Below are 19,025 nucleotides of genomic sequence, written 5' to 3' on the forward strand. Positions count from 1 at the left end.
TTAGGAGGCTGAGGTGGTAGGATAGCTTGAGCCCAGAAAGTCAAGGCTGCAGTGAGCAGTGATCGTGCCACTGTACTCCAGCCTGGAAAACAAAGTGAGACCCTTTCTCAACAACAACAACAAATAAAGAAGAGAGGCAATAATACCTACCTCATAGCATCGTTAGAAAAATTAAATAATACATGTAATGCATTTAGCAAAATGTTCAGCACGTATCAGTTACTTGAAGAATGCTTATTTTGTTTCCACTCTTTCTTTCTTCTTTTTTTTTTTTTTGAGATGGAGTTTCCCTCTTGTTGCCCAGGCTGGAGTGCAATGGTCTGATCGCAGCTCAGTGCAACCTCTGCCTGCCAGGTTCAGGTGATTCTCCTGCCTCGGCCTCCCAAGTAGTTGGGATTAAAGGCATGCGCCACCATGCCTGGCTAATTTTGTATTTTTAGTAGAGAATGTTGGTCCATGTTGGTCAGGCTGGTCTCGAACTCCTGACCTCAGGTGATCTGCCCGCCTCAGCCTCTCAAAGTGCTGGGATTACAGGTGTGAGCCACCATGCCCAGCTCTTTTTTTTTTTTTTTTTTAAATAACCATAGTGAATGTTAAAATCCCAGTTCCCCAAGCAAAACATTACCACCCTACTTATGTACTTACTTCTAAACTCTACCCCACACTGCCTTGGGTTGTTAGTTATCTTATCTTATTCAGGTCTTGTTTACTCAACCAGGTGACAAGCTTATTTAGAACAAGAATCTGGCTTTATACTTTTTAGCAAAATAATAGCTACTATTTGTTGAGCATATATGACATACTCTTTATGGGCATTATTTCCAACCCTCACAACAACCCTGTTTTACAGATTATTTTCCTCATTTTACAGATAAGGAAACTAAAGTTCAAAGGGGTCAGTTAGCCTGGCCAAGGTGTTGAAGGCAGGACTAAATCCTGATGCAGGTAGCTACATTTGTAGCTGACAGAATGGTAAAGCATAGAGCTGCCCTCACCCAAACCCTTCTTATTTCCAACTGGCATGACCTTTAGACAATGGCAGGGAATATGGGGAGAAAGAATTGTTGGAGAGGTGCCCATCCCTTCTTCCAGCTGTGTGAAGTATAAATTTAGAACTCAAACTAAGTAGAACTCAAATGGTCATTGTAGAATTCCTGCATTCATTCAGCAAGCCTAGGCTGCTAATGAGCAAAACCCCTCACTGGGAGTTTTGTAGTTGATGATACAGATAATGTTAAGATTCATAGAATGTTTTTTATGTGCCAGGCATTGTTCTAAGCGCTTTATATGGATTAATTCATTTAATATCAGGTTAAGACTGTTATGATCTCACAGAACAGCTGAGGAAACAGAACTACAAGAAGGTTAAAGGGTTCGCCCAAGGCCTTCACCTGGCAAAGTAGTGGCGTTTGGATCTGGCAGTGATTTCGCAGCTTGAGACCTATTTAATAACAGTGTGAGAGAAGGGTCACACAGTCAAGCAAAAAAACAGACGAAACTCTGGTATAGCGAAGGACCAAAAGTTCTGCGGGCTGAGCAGGAAAGTTGGCTCCAAATGTCTGCCTGCCTGCCAGCAGACCTCCAGCCCCAACCTTCTGCTTTCCCGGCTTCCCCACCCCCTCATTCCCGACAGACCACAGCCAGCCAGCCAGGAAAGGAGGGGAAAGGTCGCAGTGGGGATGGCTCCTCCCTTCCCGTCTTAGAGCCCTTCTTAAGCAGAGCCCGCCGAGCTCGCTGAGATGTGGAAAGTCACAGGGTTCTTTCCCATCCGGCACGGGCACTTGACCCGGGTACACGGAACCGCCAGTTCTAAAGCCACCAGCGGCCTTCCCTTCCACGGCGTGTACACCCCTTCCCGGGGGTCCTCCCCATTCCCAGTGTCTCTCCGGGACTCTACTTTCTGAGATCCCCCGTTGCGTGCTCTCAAGACAGACCGCACAGTCTTGGCTGGGTGGGTTCGGGGGTGATTAGTAAGGCAGCCTAGCCCCCCAAATCTGGACATAAGGCTGGTCTGTGACCTCCTGGCTCTTTAGTTCAAGCCGAAAGCACCCTTAAAAATCATCTAGCGGCCGGGCGCGGTGGCTCACGCCTGTAGCCCCAGCACTTTGGGAGGCAGAGGTGGGAGGATGGCTTGAGATCAGGAGTTCGAGACCAGCCTGGGCAACATAGCGAGACTGTCTCTATTTAAAAAAAAAAAAGAAGAAGAAGAAGAAAAATCATCTAGTGGCCAATGTCTTCATTACAGATGAGAAAACCGAGGCCCATTTAAATACCAAGTGACTTGCCCATATGCAGTTAGGATCCCACACCAGGGCCAGGAGTATTTCACGTTTTCTGAAGCGACACGACAAACTCTCATAGAAAGCAGAGCTTGCAGAGCTTAATATGTTGCACAAGGGCCTCACCATTCCAGAGATACCGATGGCAACTGAAACTCGGGATTTGGAATCTTGGTACAGCTATGAAGTGAAACAAAACCAGCTCTTCAGTCCTTGAAATGAAGAAAATAACGAGTGGGGTAGGGGTCTGGTGCCCTCTGACAATTTAGTGCACCCGAAATCTCTGGGGAAGAACCCACCCTTCACGGCGGGGCTTCACGGACACGAAGGCCATCGGTGTTTTTCACCTACTGGGGAGAAGGGATATGTGCTCTCTGACTCCTTCAAATGTTTTCTACAGCAGAGATGGCAGTCGAGATTAATACACACGCCTCGTCTCACTCCAGAACACAATGACTCAAAACCGCACGACGTGTACTTTTGGAAACAGCTCCGCGGGAGAGCACCCGGGACAATCCCCAAACCCCGTTGCCCGCGGGGTGGGGCCGCGGACGTGCGCCACGTCGTGTGCGTCCCGGGCGTGCGTGCGGCCTCCAGTGCGCGTGCGCGTACCCTCCTGGGGCGTGCTCGCGGCTATAAGGGGCGGAGGCTGGGCGGCGTTGCTCTGCGCTCTGCGGCTGACGGCGCTTTTGTCTCCGGTGAGTTTTGTGGCGGGAAGCTTCTGCGCTGGTGCTTAGTAACCGACTTTCCTCCGGACTCCTGCACGACCTGCTCCTACAGCCGGCGATCCACTCCCGGCTGTTCCCCCGGAGGTGAGCGGCCCTGTGGGCTTCCCCGGCTCCCCACCCCCATCGCTAGAGTGCTCGCCGCGCTAGCAGCCTCGCGTTCCAGGGCTGGGGGTGCGCCGCCGGGATCCTCTCTGATCGCCCACGCCCCATCTGGGGTCCCCATTCAGCCGTCAGCCCTGTTTTGTCCTAAGGTGGTCCTAACTAGGATCCACGTGGCCCATCCCACGCCCACAGGTGCTGAGTTAGGCATCCCTGCCATGCCCTCCCAGAGCACCTTCACGATCTCCTTGCTGTCCCAACACTTAGCGTGTTGCGTGTTAACTACCCTTTGTCTATAAGGTTTGCAATGTGGCCCTAGTATCTTCCAGGGTACCTAACACATTGCAGATATTCATGGTATGTTTGTTAAATAAATGAACTTGATAGATTTGACCCTCATAGAGTTATTTGGACTTGCAAAAAGTTTGTAGTTAACTCCAATCTGTGATGTGGGAGAGACTTCTAGGCAGGTTCCTTTCTCCAGGGCATGTTCTTATATTTCCCATTACCCACCACCCCCCTGCAAAAGGACTGGGCCTATTTCAGGAAGGTGACTGATGCCTGCACTGTAGCACAGGGGTTGTGTATTGTGCCTTGCAGGAACAAAATTTTCAATAAAGTAAATGTTTGTTTGTTTGTTTTTGAGACGGAGTTTTGCTTTTGTTGCCGAGGCTGGAGTGCAATGGCGCGATCTTGGCTCACTGCAACCTCTGCCTCCCGGGTTCAAGCAATTCTGCCTCAGCCTCCCGAGTAGCTGGGATTACAGGCATGTGCCACTATGCCCGGCTAATTTTTGTATTTGTAGTAGAGACAGGGTTTCACCATGTTGGTCAGGCTGGTCTCGAATTCCTGACCTCAGGTGATCCACCCGCCTCGGCCTCCCAGAGCGCTGGGATTACAGGTATGAGCCACCGCGCCTGGCCTAAGAAAGTAAAAGTTTTAAGAAGTGTTCTTGAATTAGTCCAAGAAGCAACACTGGCTCCGCAGCCATGAAGTTTGCAATGTAAAATATTCTTGGAGAGTTGCTGTGCAACTCCCTGGTCCCTGTGTCCCTCACTGGCTAAGCCTCTCCTTCAGCCCTGTGAGAGGACAGAAGAGTCAGGGCTGGATGCATGCATATCCCCAAAAGGCTATAGATTCATCCTTTCCTCTTTTTTCTCAGGGTCCAGAGGCCTTTCAGAAGGAGAAGGCAGCTCTGTTTCTCTGCAGAGGAGTAGGGTCCTTTCAGCCATGAAGCATGTGTTGAACCTCTACCTGTTAGGTGTGGTACTGACCCTACTCTCCATCTTCGTTAGAGTGATGGAGTCCCTAGAGGGCTTACTAGAGAGCCCATCGCCTGGGACCTCCTGGACCACCAGAAGCCAACTAGCCAACACAGAGCCCACCAAGGGCCTTCCAGACCATCCATCCAGAAGCATGTGATAAGACCTCCTTCCATACTGGCCATATTTTGGAACACTGACCTAGACATGTCCAGATGGGAGTCCCATTCCTAGCAGACAAGCTGAGCACCGTTGTAACCAGAGAACTATTACTAGGCCTTGAAGAACCTGTCTAACTGGATGCTCATTGCCTGGGCAAGGCCTGTTTAGGCCGGTTGCGGTGGCTCATGCCTGTAATCCTAGCACTTTGGGAGGCTGAGGTGGGTGGATCACCTGAGGTCAGGAGTTCGAGACCAGCCTCGCCAACATGGCGAAACCCCATCTCTACTAAAAATACAAAAGTTAGCTGGGTGTGGTGGCAGAGGCCTGTAATCCCAGCTCCTTGGGAGGCTGAGGCGGGAGAATTGCTTGAACCCGGGGACGGAGGTTGCAGTGAGCCGAGATCGCACTGCTGTACCCAGCCTGGGCCACAGTGCAAGACTCCATCTCAAAAAAAAAAGAAAAGAAAAAGCCTGTTTAATGCACAGGTGTGAGTGGATTGCTTATGGCTATGAGATAGGTTGATCTCGCCCTTACCCCGGGGTCTGGTGTATGCTGTGCTTTCCTCAGCAGTATGGCTCTGACATCTCTTAGATGTCCCAACTTCAGCTGTTGGGAGATGGTGATATTTTCAACCCTACTTCCTAAACATCTGTCTGGGGTTCCTTTAGTCTTGAATGTCTTATGCTCAATTATTTGGTGTTGAGCCTCTCTTCCACAAGAGCTCCTCCATGTTTGGATAGCAGTTGAAGAGGTTGTGTGGGTGGGCTGTTGGGAGTGAGGATGGAGTGTTCAGTGCCCATTTCTCATTTTACATTTTAAAGTCGTTCCTCCAACATAGTGTGTATTGGTCTGAAGGGGGTGGTGGGATGCCAAAGCCTGCTCAAGTTATGGACATTGTGGCCACCATGTGGCTTAAATGATTTTTTCTAACTAATAAAGTGGAATATATATTTCTACTGTGTGTCATGTTGACTTCTGCTCTTGAAATTCGTGGTAGGGAGGGTCTTAATTTCTAGACCTGAGGTTTAATTTTAACATCTCAATACTTTGGAGCAGGAAAGTGCTTAAATCACTTTGTTTAAAACATAGTATCAGTAGACTTCTGAATTTGGGGGCAGAGGCAGTTGGGTCTGCCATGTATCAACCAGTTATGTGAGCCTAGGCCACGATTATTGCAGGCCTGTCATGACTAGATCTGTAAAGAAGAAGAAAAATGATCACCACTTCCAGCCCCTCTCCTTGAGTCTCTGGGGCAAAGAGGACTATCAGTCCAGGAGGCTGTGGGCTTTTTCTTTTGTACTCTTCAGCGTGTTTTACTTACCCACCAAAAAGGCTGCTTAATTCAGATTGTTCTCAAAGTCAGTTGGTAAAGTGTCCACACCACACAGATGATTATATCTGCTCTCCCAGATCTAAGCAACTTGGCCTTTACTCAAAAGTTGGAGGGGTTTTTTTTTCTTGTATCCATCACTCTTGTACTTCCTGTCCCACGTACAATTGTATTCACTCCTTTGCCCTTCAGAATATATTTATTTACACTCCCATCTGGGCGTGTGCATCATTTTATTAACTTGACTGACTTTTGCTAAAGCGCAACAATGAAGTACAGTGTCTTCTGTTAAGCCAGTTTTGCTTCCTGAGTGTTCTTAAAATGTCACTACCCTAGAAGCCTGTGGGTTAAGCATCACTTTCATTTATTGCACAGTGGTTGTCACTAGTGTTATTTATCAAGTATTTCCAGTTTCCCACCTTTCGGGTACATGGTAAATTGGTCCCCTTGTGGCTGGCAGGGTTTATATGACTGTTACTTTGTTAGCATAGTACTACTCTCAAAAGTCTATTTGGCTTTTTCTCTGGTTTCAGTTTCATGTGCCAGTAGTTACCCTCTTCTAGTCATATTTCTTATATTTGATATATTTTCTCATTCTCATGCTTCTAATTTGGGGTATTTTTGAACCTTCAATTGGAGAGCCTGCACCTTAAGTCTCTCCTCCAAGTGGCTTAGTTTAATTGAAGTGATCTGTGTGCCACCACCCCCTTGTGGTTGGATGGAGCCATGTCATTAGTTCTGGCCAATGAGCTGTGAGTGGTAGTGGCTTGCGTTAATTCTACGTGAGAGCATTTCAGTGCTGGAGAAACCTGCGAGGACCTCTTTTTCCCTCTGTGCAGTGACCAGCAGTGCTTCCTATGGAACTGTTCATTAGTGTAGGTCCTGGAATGAGGATGCATGGCGCAGGGCCCTTAATCTGTCCAATCTGACTGTGATGTGGGAGAGACTTCTAGACATGTTGCTTTCTCTAGGGTATGTTCTTATATTTCCCATTACCCCCCACCCCCTGCAAAAGGACTGGGCCTGTTTTGGGAAGGTGACTGATACCCGCACTGTAGCACAGGAATTGTGCTACTGATATCTGGGGGTTTTGTTAACTGAAGTGTAACTTAGCTTATCCTGATTGGTACATTGTGTACAGCACCTATTGGATGCCAGGCATCAGCTAATACCTCATCGCTACCTGCCTCAGATGTACACAAGGTATTGGGAGGAAGGCATGTGAACAAATAATGTGTCATGGTTTTGTGATAGAAATACGTATACAGGATAGTGGGTATATAAAGTTATTTGTAGGCAGGAGAGGGGTGTTCAGGAAAAGCTTCTTAGAGGATCTCAATTTTTTAAAAATGCGTAGGTTGTAGGCTGCTGGCCAACTTAGGAAAAGGTGTCTCAGCGGAGGGAACAACGGGAGCAAAGGCATGGAGATGAGCCTATGCACAGCTCATTTAGAAAACTGCAAGTTCAGGCCAGGTGCAGTGCCTCACGCCTGTAATCCCAGCACTTTGGGAGGCCGACGCGGGTGCATCACCTGAGGTCAGGAGTTTGTGACCAGCCTGGCCAACATGGGGAAACTCCATCTCTATTAAAAATACAAAAAATAGCTGGGCGTGGTGGCAGGTGCCTGTAATACCAGCTATTCAGCAGGCTGAGGCAAGAGAATCACTTGAACCTGGGGGTCGGAGGTTGCAGTGAGCCAAGATGCGCCATTGCACTCCAGCCTGGGCAACAAAAGTGAAACTCCATCTCAAAAAAAAGAGAACTGCAAGTACAGGCCAGGCACAGTGGCTCGTACCTGTAACCCCAGCACTTTGGGAGGCTTAGGCAGGAGGATTGCTTGAGCCTAGGAGTTCAAGACCAGCCTGGGGAACAGAGCAAGACCCCGTCTTTATTTAAAAAAAATTATTTAAAAAAATTTTTTTTTCCATTCAGGGTCTCATTTTGTTACCCAGACTGGAGTGCAGTGGTGGCATTGTGGTTCACTGCAACCTCCACCTCCCGGGCTCAAGCAATTCTCCTGTCTCAGCCTCCCCAGTAACTGGGACTACAGGTGCACACCACCATGCCCAGCTAATTTTTGTATTTTTTGTAGAGATGGAGTTTTACCATGTTGCCCAGACTGTCCTCGAACCCCTTGGACTCAAGTGATCCACCCGTCTCAGCCTTCCAAAGTGCTGGGATTACAGGTGTGAGCCACCGCACCCGGCCCACTACTCCCCCAACATTTTTTTAAGCGTTAGCTGGGCATAGTGGCGCACACCTTTAGTCCTAGCTACCAAAGGGGTTGAAGTGGGAGGATCACTTGAGCCCAGGAGTTTGAGGCTGCAGTGAGCCATGATCATGCCACTGTGCTGCAGCCTGGGTGACAGAACTAGACCCTGTCTCCTAAAAAATTAAGGCTGGGCACGGTGGCTCACACCTGTAATCCCAGCACTTTGGGAGGCCAAGGCAGGTAGATCATTTGAGATCAGGAGTTCGAGACCAGTCTGACCAATATGGTGAAACCCTGTCTCTACTAAAAATACAAAAATTAGCTGGGCATGGTGGCAAGCATCTGTAGTCCCAGCTACTGGGGAGGCTGAGACAGGAAAATTGCTTGAACCTGGGAGGCAGAGGTTGCAGTGAGCTGAGATAGTGCCACTGCATTCCAGCCTGGGTGACAGAGTGAGACTCCATCTCAAAATAAATAAATAAAAATAAATAATTTTTCAAAGTGCAAGTACAAATTTTAAATCTTACTAGCTTGTGGCCTGAACTCTAGTGCCACCTAGTGGACCCTAAAGAAGGGAATATTTTATATACTGTATGCTGTGTAATGCTTTCTGAATTTGAATGACACTACCTCTGAAGCTTAAGATAACTATGAGAATATTAAGGGCTGGAAGATAAGATCTAGCCCAGCACTGTCCAATAAAAACATAATGCAAACTACATATATAATTTAAAATTTTCTAGTGTCCCATTAAGGAGTAAAAAGAAACTGAAGATATTTTTAACATATTTAACGCAATGTATTCAAGATATCATTCCAAAATATAACATAAAGTGTTATTAATGAGATATGTTAAATACTTTTTTTGTGATACTAAGTTTGTATACTGGTGGGCATTTTATACTTAAAATATGTCTCTACTTGGATTTGCCACACATTTTCTTTAGTTTTTGTTGGTGGTGCTTTTTTTTTTTTTTTTTTTTTGAGAGTTTTGCTCTGTCGCCCATGCTGGAGTGCAGTGGCACAATCTCGGCTCACTGCAACCTCTGCCTCTGGGTTCAAGCAATTCTTGTGCATCAGCCTCCTGAGTAGCTGGGATTACAGGCACCCACCACCATGCTGGGCTAATTTTTTTTTTTTTTTGGTAGAGATGGGGTTTCACCATGTTGGCCAGGCTGGTCTCAAACTCCTGACCTCCAGTGATCTGCCCACCTTGGTGTCTGTGCTGGGATCCTTTTCTGTTAACTTGCTTATAAAAATGTCACACTCTGTATTAAGACATAAGGAGTTAGAAAATCACTGTAAAAATAAAGTTGCTTGTTGTACAGGTACTAACAAGCATTTTCTGAAATGGAAATTTGTTTTTTTATTAACCTAATACAAATAAGGTTCAAGCACTGTATTTAAATATTTAAAAGATAGGAGTTTCTTAAAATACCACATATGGTGCTCTTGTGAGCTTGCTTTTCTCCACAATTTGGCAATTTGCTTCACTCTAGTAGTCCAATCTGCAACAAAAGAACAGAATATAACACTTTCTCAGAGCCATGCTAATGATGTGTTGTATTAAAGAATGTTGATGAACTGCTGACAGTTAATCTTATTCAGGCCGTATTCTCATGAGGTCATAGATCTATATTAAGTTTTTTTACAAAGAACAAAGATCCTGGCACACTGTAGGCCAAACAAACGTTTTCTAAATGAAGTGTTGCCTTATTAACAACCTAGCTTGTAGGTTGGGAAGTTTTTAGATTCAAGGGACAAAGTAGCAAAAATGTGCCCTCTCCCTCACCCTCACCTTCTCCCTCTCCCTCTCTCTCTCCCGTCTCCGTCGTCTCTGTCTCCTGCTTTCCACGGTCTCCCCCTCTCCCTCGTCTCCGTCTCCCGCTTTCCACGGTCTCCCTCTGTTGCCGAGGCTGGACTGTACTGCTGCGATCTCGGCTCACTGCAACCTCCCTGCCTGATTCTCCTGCCTCAGCCTGCTGAGTGCCTGGGATTGCAGGCGCGCGCCACCACGCCTGACTGGTTTTTGTATTTTTTGGTGGAGACGGGGTTTCGCCGTGTTGGCCGGGCTGGTCTCCAGCTCCTGACCACGAGTGATCTGCCCGCCCTGGCCTCCCGAGGTGCCGGGATTGCAGAGGGAGTCTTGCTCACTCAGTGCTCAATGTTGCCCAGGCTGGAGTGCAGTGGCGTGATCTCTGCTCGCTACAATCTCCACCTCCCAGCCACCTGCCTTGGCCTCCCAAAGTGCTGAGATTGCAGCCTCTGCCCGGCCGCCACCCCGTCTAGGAAGTGAGGAGCGTCTCTGCCTGGCCGCCCATCGTCTGGGATGTGAGGAGCCCCTCTGCCTGGCCGCCCAGTCTGGGAAGTGAGGAGCGCCTCTTCCCGGCTGCCATCCTGTCTAGGAAGTGAGGAGCGTCTCTGCCTGGCCGCCCATCGTCTGGGATGTGGGGAGCGCCTCTGCCCGGCCGCCCTGTCTAGGAGGTGAGGAGCGTCTCTACCCGGCCACCACCCCGTCAGGGAACTGAGGAGCGCCTCTGCCCGGCTGCCCCGTCTGAGAAGTGAGGAGCCCCTCTGCCCGGCCACCCCGTCTGAGAAGTGAGGAGCCCCTCTGCCCGGCAGCCGCCCCGTCTGGCAGGTGGGGGGGCGCCCCCGCCCGGCAGCCGCCCCGTCTGGGAGGTGGGGGGCGCGCCTCTGCCCAGCCGCCACGTCTGGGAAGTGGGGAGCCCCACTGCCCGGCTGCCACCCCGTCTGGGAGGTGTACCCAACAGCTCATTGAGAACGGGCCATGATGACGATGGCGGTTTTGTCGAATAGAAAAGGGGGAAATGTGGGGAAAAGAAAGAGAGATCAGATTGTTACTGTGTCTGTGTAGAAAGAAGTAGACATAGGAGACTCCATTTTGTTCTGTACTAAGAAAAATTCTTCTGCCTTGGGATGCTGTTAATCTATAACCTTACCCCCAACCCCGTGCTCTCTGAAACATATGCTGTGTCAACTCAGGGTTAAATGGATTAAGGGCGGTGCAAGATGTGCTTTGTTAAACAGATGCTTGAAGGCAGCATGCTCGTTAAAGAGTCATTACCACTCCCTAATCTCACGTACCCAGGGACACAAACACTGCGGAAGGCCGCAGGGTCCTCTGCCTAGGAAAACCAGAGACCTTTGTTCATATGTTTATCTGCTGACCTTCTCTCCGCTATTGTCCTATGACCCTGCCAAATCTCCCTCTCGGAGAAACACCCAAGAATGATCAATAAATACTAACAAAATTAAAAAAAAAAAAAAAAGAGAAAATACAACTTGAAACATTGCAGTTGAAAATGAAGACAAAGGAAACACTTCAAAAGCAACCAGAGGCCAAGCACAGTGGCTCACATCTGTAATCCCAGCACTTTGGGAGGCCAAGTCAGGTGGATCGCCTGAGGTCAGGAGTTCAAGACCAGCCTGGCCAACATGATGAAACCCCATCTGTACTAAATACAAAAATTAGTCGGGCATGATGGCACATGCCTGTAATCCCAGCTACTTGGGAGGCTGAGGCAAGAGAATCTCTTGAACCCAGAAGGCAGAGGTTGCAGTGAGCCGAGATTGCACCACTGCACTCCAGCCTGGGCCACCAAGCAACATTCTGTCTCGAAAGAAAGAAAGAGAGAAAGAGAGGGAGGGAGGGAGGGAGGAAGGAAGGTAGGAAGGAAGGAAGGAAGGAAGGTAGGAAGGAAGGAAGGAAGGAAGGAAAGACGGGAGGAAACCAGACAGAAAAAATAACTTACAAAGGAACAAAAAGTAGACTAACAGGAGACTTCATGCATGCAAAAATAAAGGCCAGAAGACAATCAAATAATATCTATAGATTGAGGAGAGAAAAGTATTTCCAGCTAAGCTATCATTCAAGAGGAAGAGTAAATAAAAACACTTTCAAGGCCAGGCATGGTGGCTCACACCTGTAATCTCAGCACTTTGGGAGGCCAAGGCAGGCGGATCACCTGAGGTCAGGAGTTCGAGACCAGCCTGGCCAACATGGTGAAACCCCGTCTCTACTAAAAATACAAAATGTAGCCAGGCATGGTGGCGCGTGTCTGTAATCCCAGCTACTAGGGAGGCTGAGGCAGGAGAATCACTTGAACCCGGGAGGCGAAGGTTGCAGTGAGCCAAGATCCCACCACTGCACTCCAGCGAGACTCTGTCTCAAAAAAAAAAAAAAAAAAAAGAATGTTCGACTTTATAAGGGTGTGTTCTTTCTTGCTTGTCTATAACTTTAATGTGATTTTTCAAATTTTCCCCAAGGGTTTTTGTTGTTGTTGTTGAGACAGGTCTCAACTTTGTCACCCAGGCTGGAGTGCAGTGATGTGATATCAGCTCACTGCAACCTCTGCCTCCGAGGCTCAAGCAATCCTCCCACTTCAGCCTCTCTAGTAGCTGGGACTACAGACACGTGCCACCATGCCCAGCTAGTTTTTGTATTTTTAGTAGAGATGGGGTTTCGCCATGTTGGCTGGTCTTGAACTCCTGGGCTCAAGCAGTCCACCCTCCTCAGCCTCCCAAAGTGCTGGAATCACAGGCATGAGCCACTTTCATGACTTTGTCTCAAAAAAAAAAAAAAAGTCTCAATCATTAAAACAGTGTGATATTAAGATATTAACAGACAGACCCAAGGAAGAAAATAGAAAGTCCCAAAATAAATAGAGCTATGTGGAGAATTTTAACTTAAGGAAAACGTGACATTTCAACACAACAGGAAAATGATAGATTATTCAACAAATAGTGCACTGAGTAGGCATCTGAGGAAAAAAATGAGATTCACACTTCATATACAAATTGCAAATGGATGAAATGTAAAAGGAATAAATGGAGGGTCAGAGAGAAAGAAAAAGAAACCTTAAACATACTGAAATAAACTCTGGGAAGGCCTCCCTAACTGTGATACAAAAGTCAAATGCATTTTTAAATAAAAAGATATTAATTCCACTGCTTCAAGATCAAAAATCTCCATATGGCCAAAAAAAAATCACAGTTGCTACTCATAACATAAAAGGCTAACTTCAAAGAACTTCAAATTCATAAGAAAAAAATAACCTATATAAAAATGGACAAAGGGTATGAACAGACAGTTCTCAGAAACATTAAAAAATATTCAACCTCATTCCTCATAAAAGATCCAAGTTAAAACTCTCCTCAGATATTTATCTTTTCATATTATATTGACCAAGATGAAAAAACATGGGTATACTCATAAGTTACAGATAGGTTTGTAAATTGGTTCACCCTCTACAGAGGAAATTTGGCAATAATTACCAAAAGAACAGACTTCACACCTTTTGACCTAGCAATTCCAGTCCTAGGGCACCATCTAGGATATACAGATATTTTTGCACATATGCCAAATGCCACTCCTGAGGGACCCAGAAAAAAGTCTAAACAAACAAACAAATGGTTTGGCAATAACCTCATAAATTATATACAAATCCTTCTATAATAAAATATACTTATTTATTATGTCTTTTTGTTGTATAATTCAAATTAAAATGTATTACCTTCTTTTTTAAATATGCATAAAGGCAGCAAATATGAAGTCTATGGACCCTGCCTCAGGTTATTCAAATAACATCCTCACCATTGATCAAATGCTCAAGAAAAAGCAGACTTGTATAGTGGCCGATGCAACTACTATTAAACAACATGTGAGTATTCCTTGTTGAGTTCCTTCCCAGAAATCACTGACAAAAATATTGTCCACTTCAATACTACACCATAAAACCAAGAGAATTTTTATCTGCTCTATGTCTTTAAAATGAGACAAGGTTGTTTCTCTTGTTTACCCATTGTAATAACACCATTTCTTTCTCTATAATCAAATGGATTCAAATGTTAAGTGTTATGATTCATCCTGCTATTCACCTATGCAGCTATACTCACTGTTATTTCTGGGACATTCATTTGTGTTATTCCAGAAATATCAAACTAATTAAGGTAGTTAACCAACAGTCACAGTGAGTAGTGTACTCAGAGATTCATGGTGAAAGAATCTTACATCCTGAGGCCTCTAGCCCTGGGGCACCAGCTGCACCAGGGCTAAGAAGCTTGAGAAGATCAATAGTTTGGTATTAATACATTGGAAATCTTGGCATTAGGTAAAGAACAGCTAGGGCAAGTATTCTTTGGGCTATCTCAATCTATCCTCCTTGGTTCAGCTGCCACCTATGTACTGATTACTGTTAAAGTTGTCACTAACCTAACTTCTTTCCTCTATTTCTGACCTATCTCACTGACCACTTGATGACTATTTCTGCCTCTACGCAGGGTCTCATAACATAACAAACTCAACGTGTCCAAAACAAAACTCATCATCTTCTGCAGCCAACTGGTTCTCCCCTGGGAATTCTGTATCTCAGGTGTTTTTTGTTTGTTTGTTTTGTGTGTGTGTGTGTGTGTGTGTGTGTGTGTGTGTGTGTGTGTGTGTGTTTAAATAAGGTCAACTTTTATTTTAGATCCACGGGGTACATGTGCAGGTTTGTTATGAGAGTATATTGCATGTGTCTCAGTTGATAGCATCTACTCAGTCACTGAAGCTAGAAGGCCAGGAGCTATCCTTAACTGGGGTTTTTTCCTCATTCCTCACATCTGCTAATCCCCAAGTCTGGCCGATTGTCATTCTCTTAAAGATTTTTCAGGGCTGGGCATGGTGGCTCACACCTGTAATCCTAGCACTTTGGGAAGCCAAGGCAGGCGAATCACCTGAGGTCAGGAGTTTGAGACCAGCCTGGCCAACATGGTGAAACCCCGTCTCTACTAAAAATACAAAAATTAGCCGGGCATGGTGGTGGGCGCCTGTAATCCCAGCTACTTGGGAGGCTGAGGCAGGAGAATCCCTTGAACCCAGGAGGCAGAGGTTGTGATGAGCCAAGATCGCACTACTGCAGTCCAGGTTAGGCAACAGGACAAGACTCCGTCTCAAAAAAAAAAAAAAAATCCCACATTTTTCAAATCTGTCCCTTTCATTCCATCCCCATTACCACTGCCTTAGATGAGGCAGTCTCCAACCTGGTATCCTCCAACTATTCTCCACACAGCTGCTAATGATCCAACATGAAGAGCCAACCATGGCACTGTCCTGCTTAAAAGTGAACACGTCCCTCTCAATGATGGCAATTTCAACTCTATTTTCCGCTTAAGAGATTTATTTCACTTTCATTAGAAACAGTGGGTTGCTACAGCATGATTTTCACTGAGGAACAGGCTTTTGCTAGCCTCACAGAGATTACTGACTTATTAAGTGTAAGGGCTGCCTGTCCTTTGTCATTATTTATTCCTCCCACTTTAAACTTGACACTCCAGCAATACCAAGTGCCTGAACCCTCCTACCACACCTCCAGGATATTTACTGCCTTGGGGTCTCTGTTTATGCTGTTTATGCTGTCCCCTCTCCCTGGAACACCTTCCCCTTACCACTTACTCCCTCAATTTGATCACATCCTTGAGGACCTACTCAGCTCAGCATCTTCTCCCAGTCAGTTCTCCATATCCTAGGCTGAACTGAGTGGCTGCATTGGCCCTCGTGTTATATCCCTAGCCTATCTCCATACCATACTTCAGCCTATTTTAGTCCATTGTATTTTTCATATCCTTATAAAATTTCTTATTACTTCATTATTCCCAAGCAGTACATTTTGATTGTCCATCAACTCCTAGCTCACATGTCCTCACGAGGCACCACCCAATGTATAGATTCAGTGACTTTCGAGTAGCCCAGGGACATAACTCTTGGGGTATCTATCATTGTGGTCCACAAATCAAAGCTACTTTAAGGTAACTACAATAAACTTCTGGTCTCTCACTGCAGGTGAAGAGAGCTACTGATACCTATAATTTGGGAATTGCCCTTGAACACCGAAAAGAAATGCTAAACCTCTGGCAGAAGATCCGAGGGGATTTGATTGGGATAGACTCTAGAAATGAGGCCTTTTATGACACCTTTTCTACTTATACATGGTCCTGGAATGTTTGCCAAGAATTACTTTCTCCTAAGGACTTAAGGTTATATGATGCCTATGTGAATAGAAATTCCTCCCATAACTGCAGATCCTCTTCCTCATCAGATACCAGTGAATGTGACACAGACTCAGGAAGAAAAAGAAAACAGAAAGGTTTAAAGGGATTTCAACAATGAAATTTCTACATTTTCTAAACAGCTCATCACAAACTACTTTTTCATAGTTATCAAAATTATTGTTTCTTGCTTTTGTCTAAGTACATTCTTAGAAGCTGGAAATGTTGACATCTTTTGGATTCTGACCAGTAAAAAACCTTAAACCATTTAGGAAATGGTTTCCCTTTCCTAAATCTTTTTTTTTTTTTTTTTTTTTTTTTTTGAGACAGAGTCTTCCTCTGTCACCAGGCTGGAGTGCAGTGGCATGATGTTGGCTTACTGTAACCTCCACCTCCTGGGTTCAAGCCATTTTCCTGGCTAAGCCTCCCGAGTAGCTGGGATTACAGGCACCCACCACCACACCCAGCTAATTTTTGTATTTTTAATAGAGATGGGGTTATCACCATGTTGGTCAGGATGGTCTCGATCTCCTGACCTCGTGATCCGCCCGCCTCGGCCTCCCAAAGTGCTGGGATTACAGGTGTGAGCCACTGCGCCCGGCCCCCTTTCCTAAATCTTTACTAGTAAATAGATGCTGGGCTGTTAGTTCCCTAGCAACCAGCTGCACTCTGCTGCCCCTACCTGGCTTAAGACTGCCTAAGCCTCATCAGGAAGGAGAAAAGTTGGCCTGAGCTAAGGGCCCTCCAAGCAATAAACCTCTGAGTTTATGGTGAGTGTAAACTGGGTTAGGTTTTCAATTGTTTGTGAAAGAGACCAGAGACAGCAGACGAGGATGACCTTTCAGTTTCAGGGAATAAGATCAGCAAGCCCTAAAGAACCTTGATTAAATTTGGGTATTCCCAAGGCTCCTTAGCTACACACCTGCACACTTAGATTGCTCTTACAAATAGCTAAACACAGCCAGGTGCGATGGCTCATGCCTGTAATCCCAGCACTTCGGGAGGCTGAGGCGGGCGGATCACCTGAGGTCAGGAGTTCAAGACCAGCCTGGTCAACATGGTGAAACCCTGTCTCTACTAAAAATACAAAAATTAGTCGGGCGTGGTGGCACATGCCCATAATCCCAGCTACTCTGGAGGCTGAAGCGGGAGAATTGCTTGAACCTGGGAGGTGGAGGGTGCAGTGAGTTTATGGTGAGTGTAAACTGCGATTATGCCACTGCACTCCATCCTGGGTGACAGAGCAAGATTCTGTCTCAAAACAAGACAAACAAAATGAATAGCTGATCACATCCATTGTATTTATTGTTGCTGTTCTTTAATGCATTTAATAAAGAAGCACATATATAACCATATTACAAGTTTGGGGGATTATAATTTTTTATTATGGTAAAATATACATTACATAAAATTTGCCCTTTCAATCATGTTTAAGTGTGTATCATCCATTACTGGGTTTTTTGTTTTGGTTTGTTTTGTTTTGTGTGCGTGTGTGTTTGTTTAGAAACAGGGTTTCACTCTGTCACCCAGGCTGGTATGCAGTGACACAATCATGGCTCCCTGCAGCCTCAACTTCCTGGGCTCAAGCAATCCTCCCAACTCAGCCTCTCACGTAGCTGGAACTACAGGGGCGCACCACCATGCCCAGCTAATTTTTTTTTATTTTTGTAGAGACACGGACTCCCTATGTTGCTCAGGCTGGTCTCAAACTCCTGGGCTGAAGTGATCCTCCCACCTCAGCCTCCCAAATTGTTGTTATTACAAGTATGAGCTACTGTGCCCAGTCCCATTGGGGTATTTTTCTGTGGTTCTCAAGGGTTGCCCACAGAGAGACAGACCACTTTTGGACTCAGGAAATCTGGATGTACCAAGACTAAATCTATATTAACCTTCTGATCTACTGTCAGGATGGCAAAGTGTTTTATTTCCTGTGACAATTCTGATCTAAAAATGTAAGGGATGAAAAAAAATGTAAGGGATGAGATCAACTATTTGTAAATGTTGTCCGAGAGGCTGGTTTGCAGGTGTGTGGGTGCAAACCAGTCCATCACACTCAACATATAGAACAAATCCTTTTTAAATCACTGTTCTAGAAAAATTTTGACCCAGAAAAAGGAAAAGATATGTCCAATATTGATGGGGACAATGCCTCATAATGTAAAAAAAAAAAAAAAAAAAAAAAATTGAGACAGAGTCTCACTCTGTTGCCCAGGCTGCAGTGCAGCAACGTGATCTCAGTTCGCTGCAACCTCCACCTCCCCGGGCTCAAGCGTTTCACCTGCCTCAGCCTCCCAAGTAGCTGGGATTACAGGTGCATGCCACCACACCCAGCTAATTTTTGTATTTTTAGTAGAGATAGGGTTTCGCCATGTTGCCCAGGCTAGTCTCAAACTCCTGAACTCAGGTGATCTGTCAACCTCAGCCTCCCAAAGTGCTGGGATAACAGGCATGAGTCACTGCGCCCTGCTGTAAAATTATAAAATGCCAGGAAAAAGCAATGAGGATAGTGCCCCCAAAACTGTTTATTGAAATGGCCTTGAGGTAATTTTGTGAGTGTTACCATGAATAGTCAAAAGAGTCTAAATATACCTGCTATTATTTATAAAGATACAATGTTGGAGAGAAGAACTAACCTTATAGATAGATAAGCAGCCATATTTTCTAGCTAAAAACAAGATTTATGACTTGACAAGAGACTTTTCATATGGCTGTGGGTATAACAGGGAATCTAGGAGATATAATTTGGATGCCAAAATGTTACAATTCCTGGAATATTTCCTTGCATCAGTGAGATAACAGGGCAGAATATTTTTAGTAGGATCTGTCCTGGAAAATCTAAAATGTACAGCAATACATTCTTTCTATTAAATTGTCACACACTGTTGATGACAGTGTAAATTGGCATCT

The 19,025-nt window shown here is 45.7% G+C and overlaps 1 protein-coding gene and 1 pseudogene across 6 annotated transcripts, besides 4 other annotated features; both read left to right on the forward strand.

Annotated features, from left to right (window-relative positions):
- Positions 974 to 1,680: an enhancer, noted in NCBI's record as "H3K27ac-H3K4me1 hESC enhancer chr7:128093960-128094666 (GRCh37/hg19 assembly coordinates)". NCBI's record gives its function as "activates a minimal SCP1, AML or CMV promoter by ChIP-STARR-seq in naive H9 embryonic stem cells {active_cell/tissue: H9 hESC(naive)}" and the evidence as "EXISTENCE:reporter gene assay evidence [ECO:0000049][PMID:30033119]".
- Positions 2,589 to 2,758: an enhancer, noted in NCBI's record as "active region_26599". NCBI's record gives its function as "activates an Ori minimal core promoter by ATAC-STARR-seq in GM12878 lymphoblastoid cells {active_cell/tissue: GM12878}" and the evidence as "EXISTENCE:reporter gene assay evidence [ECO:0000049][PMID:35858748]".
- Positions 2,859 to 2,998: a silencer, noted in NCBI's record as "silent region_18608". NCBI's record gives its function as "represses an Ori minimal core promoter by ATAC-STARR-seq in GM12878 lymphoblastoid cells {active_cell/tissue: GM12878}" and the evidence as "EXISTENCE:reporter gene assay evidence [ECO:0000049][PMID:35858748]".
- HILPDA (hypoxia inducible lipid droplet associated) lies at positions 2,946 to 5,486 on the forward strand. Of its 2 annotated transcripts, none has more exons than NM_013332.4 (2): positions 2,946 to 3,091; positions 4,269 to 5,486. In NM_013332.4, the coding sequence occupies exon 2, from the start codon at positions 4,337 to 4,339 to the stop codon at positions 4,526 to 4,528; it is 192 nt and encodes a 63-aa protein (NP_037464.1). In that variant the 5' UTR covers positions 2,946 to 3,091; positions 4,269 to 4,336; the 3' UTR covers positions 4,529 to 5,486. The 2 variants fall into 2 exon arrangements, with proteins under 2 accessions (NP_037464.1, NP_001092256.1); NM_001098786.2 differs by having other exon boundaries at positions 2,946 to 2,977.
- EFCAB3P1 (EFCAB3 pseudogene 1) lies at positions 2,946 to 17,473 on the forward strand (annotated as a pseudogene). Of its 4 annotated transcripts, NR_190220.1 has the most exons (5): positions 2,946 to 3,091; positions 4,269 to 4,748; positions 10,248 to 10,556; positions 13,631 to 13,753; positions 15,913 to 17,473. The product of NR_190220.1 is annotated as an EFCAB3 pseudogene 1, transcript variant 3 (transcript). The 4 variants fall into 4 exon arrangements; NR_190219.1 differs by lacking the exon at positions 4,269 to 4,748; NR_190221.1 differs by lacking the exon at positions 4,269 to 4,748 and having other exon boundaries at positions 10,298 to 10,556.
- Positions 6,443 to 6,737: an enhancer, noted in NCBI's record as "tiled region #9446; K562 Activating DNase unmatched - State 25:Art". NCBI's record gives its function as "activates a minimal TATA promoter and a strong SV40 promoter by Sharpr-MPRA in K562 cells {active_cell/tissue: K562}" and the evidence as "EXISTENCE:reporter gene assay evidence [ECO:0000049][PMID:27701403]".
- Positions 17,474 to 19,025: the final 1,552 nt, after the last annotated feature.

This window comes from Homo sapiens, chromosome 7, assembly GCF_000001405.40.
Source record: "Homo sapiens chromosome 7, GRCh38.p14 Primary Assembly".
NCBI classification, from domain to species: Eukaryota; Metazoa; Chordata; class Mammalia; order Primates; family Hominidae; genus Homo; species Homo sapiens.

Excerpts from the sequence above, each read along its gene's own strand:
- HILPDA (NM_013332.4), top strand. The coding sequence starts at position 4,337 with ATGAAGCATGTGTTGAACCTCTACCTGTTAGGTGTGGTACTGACCCTA.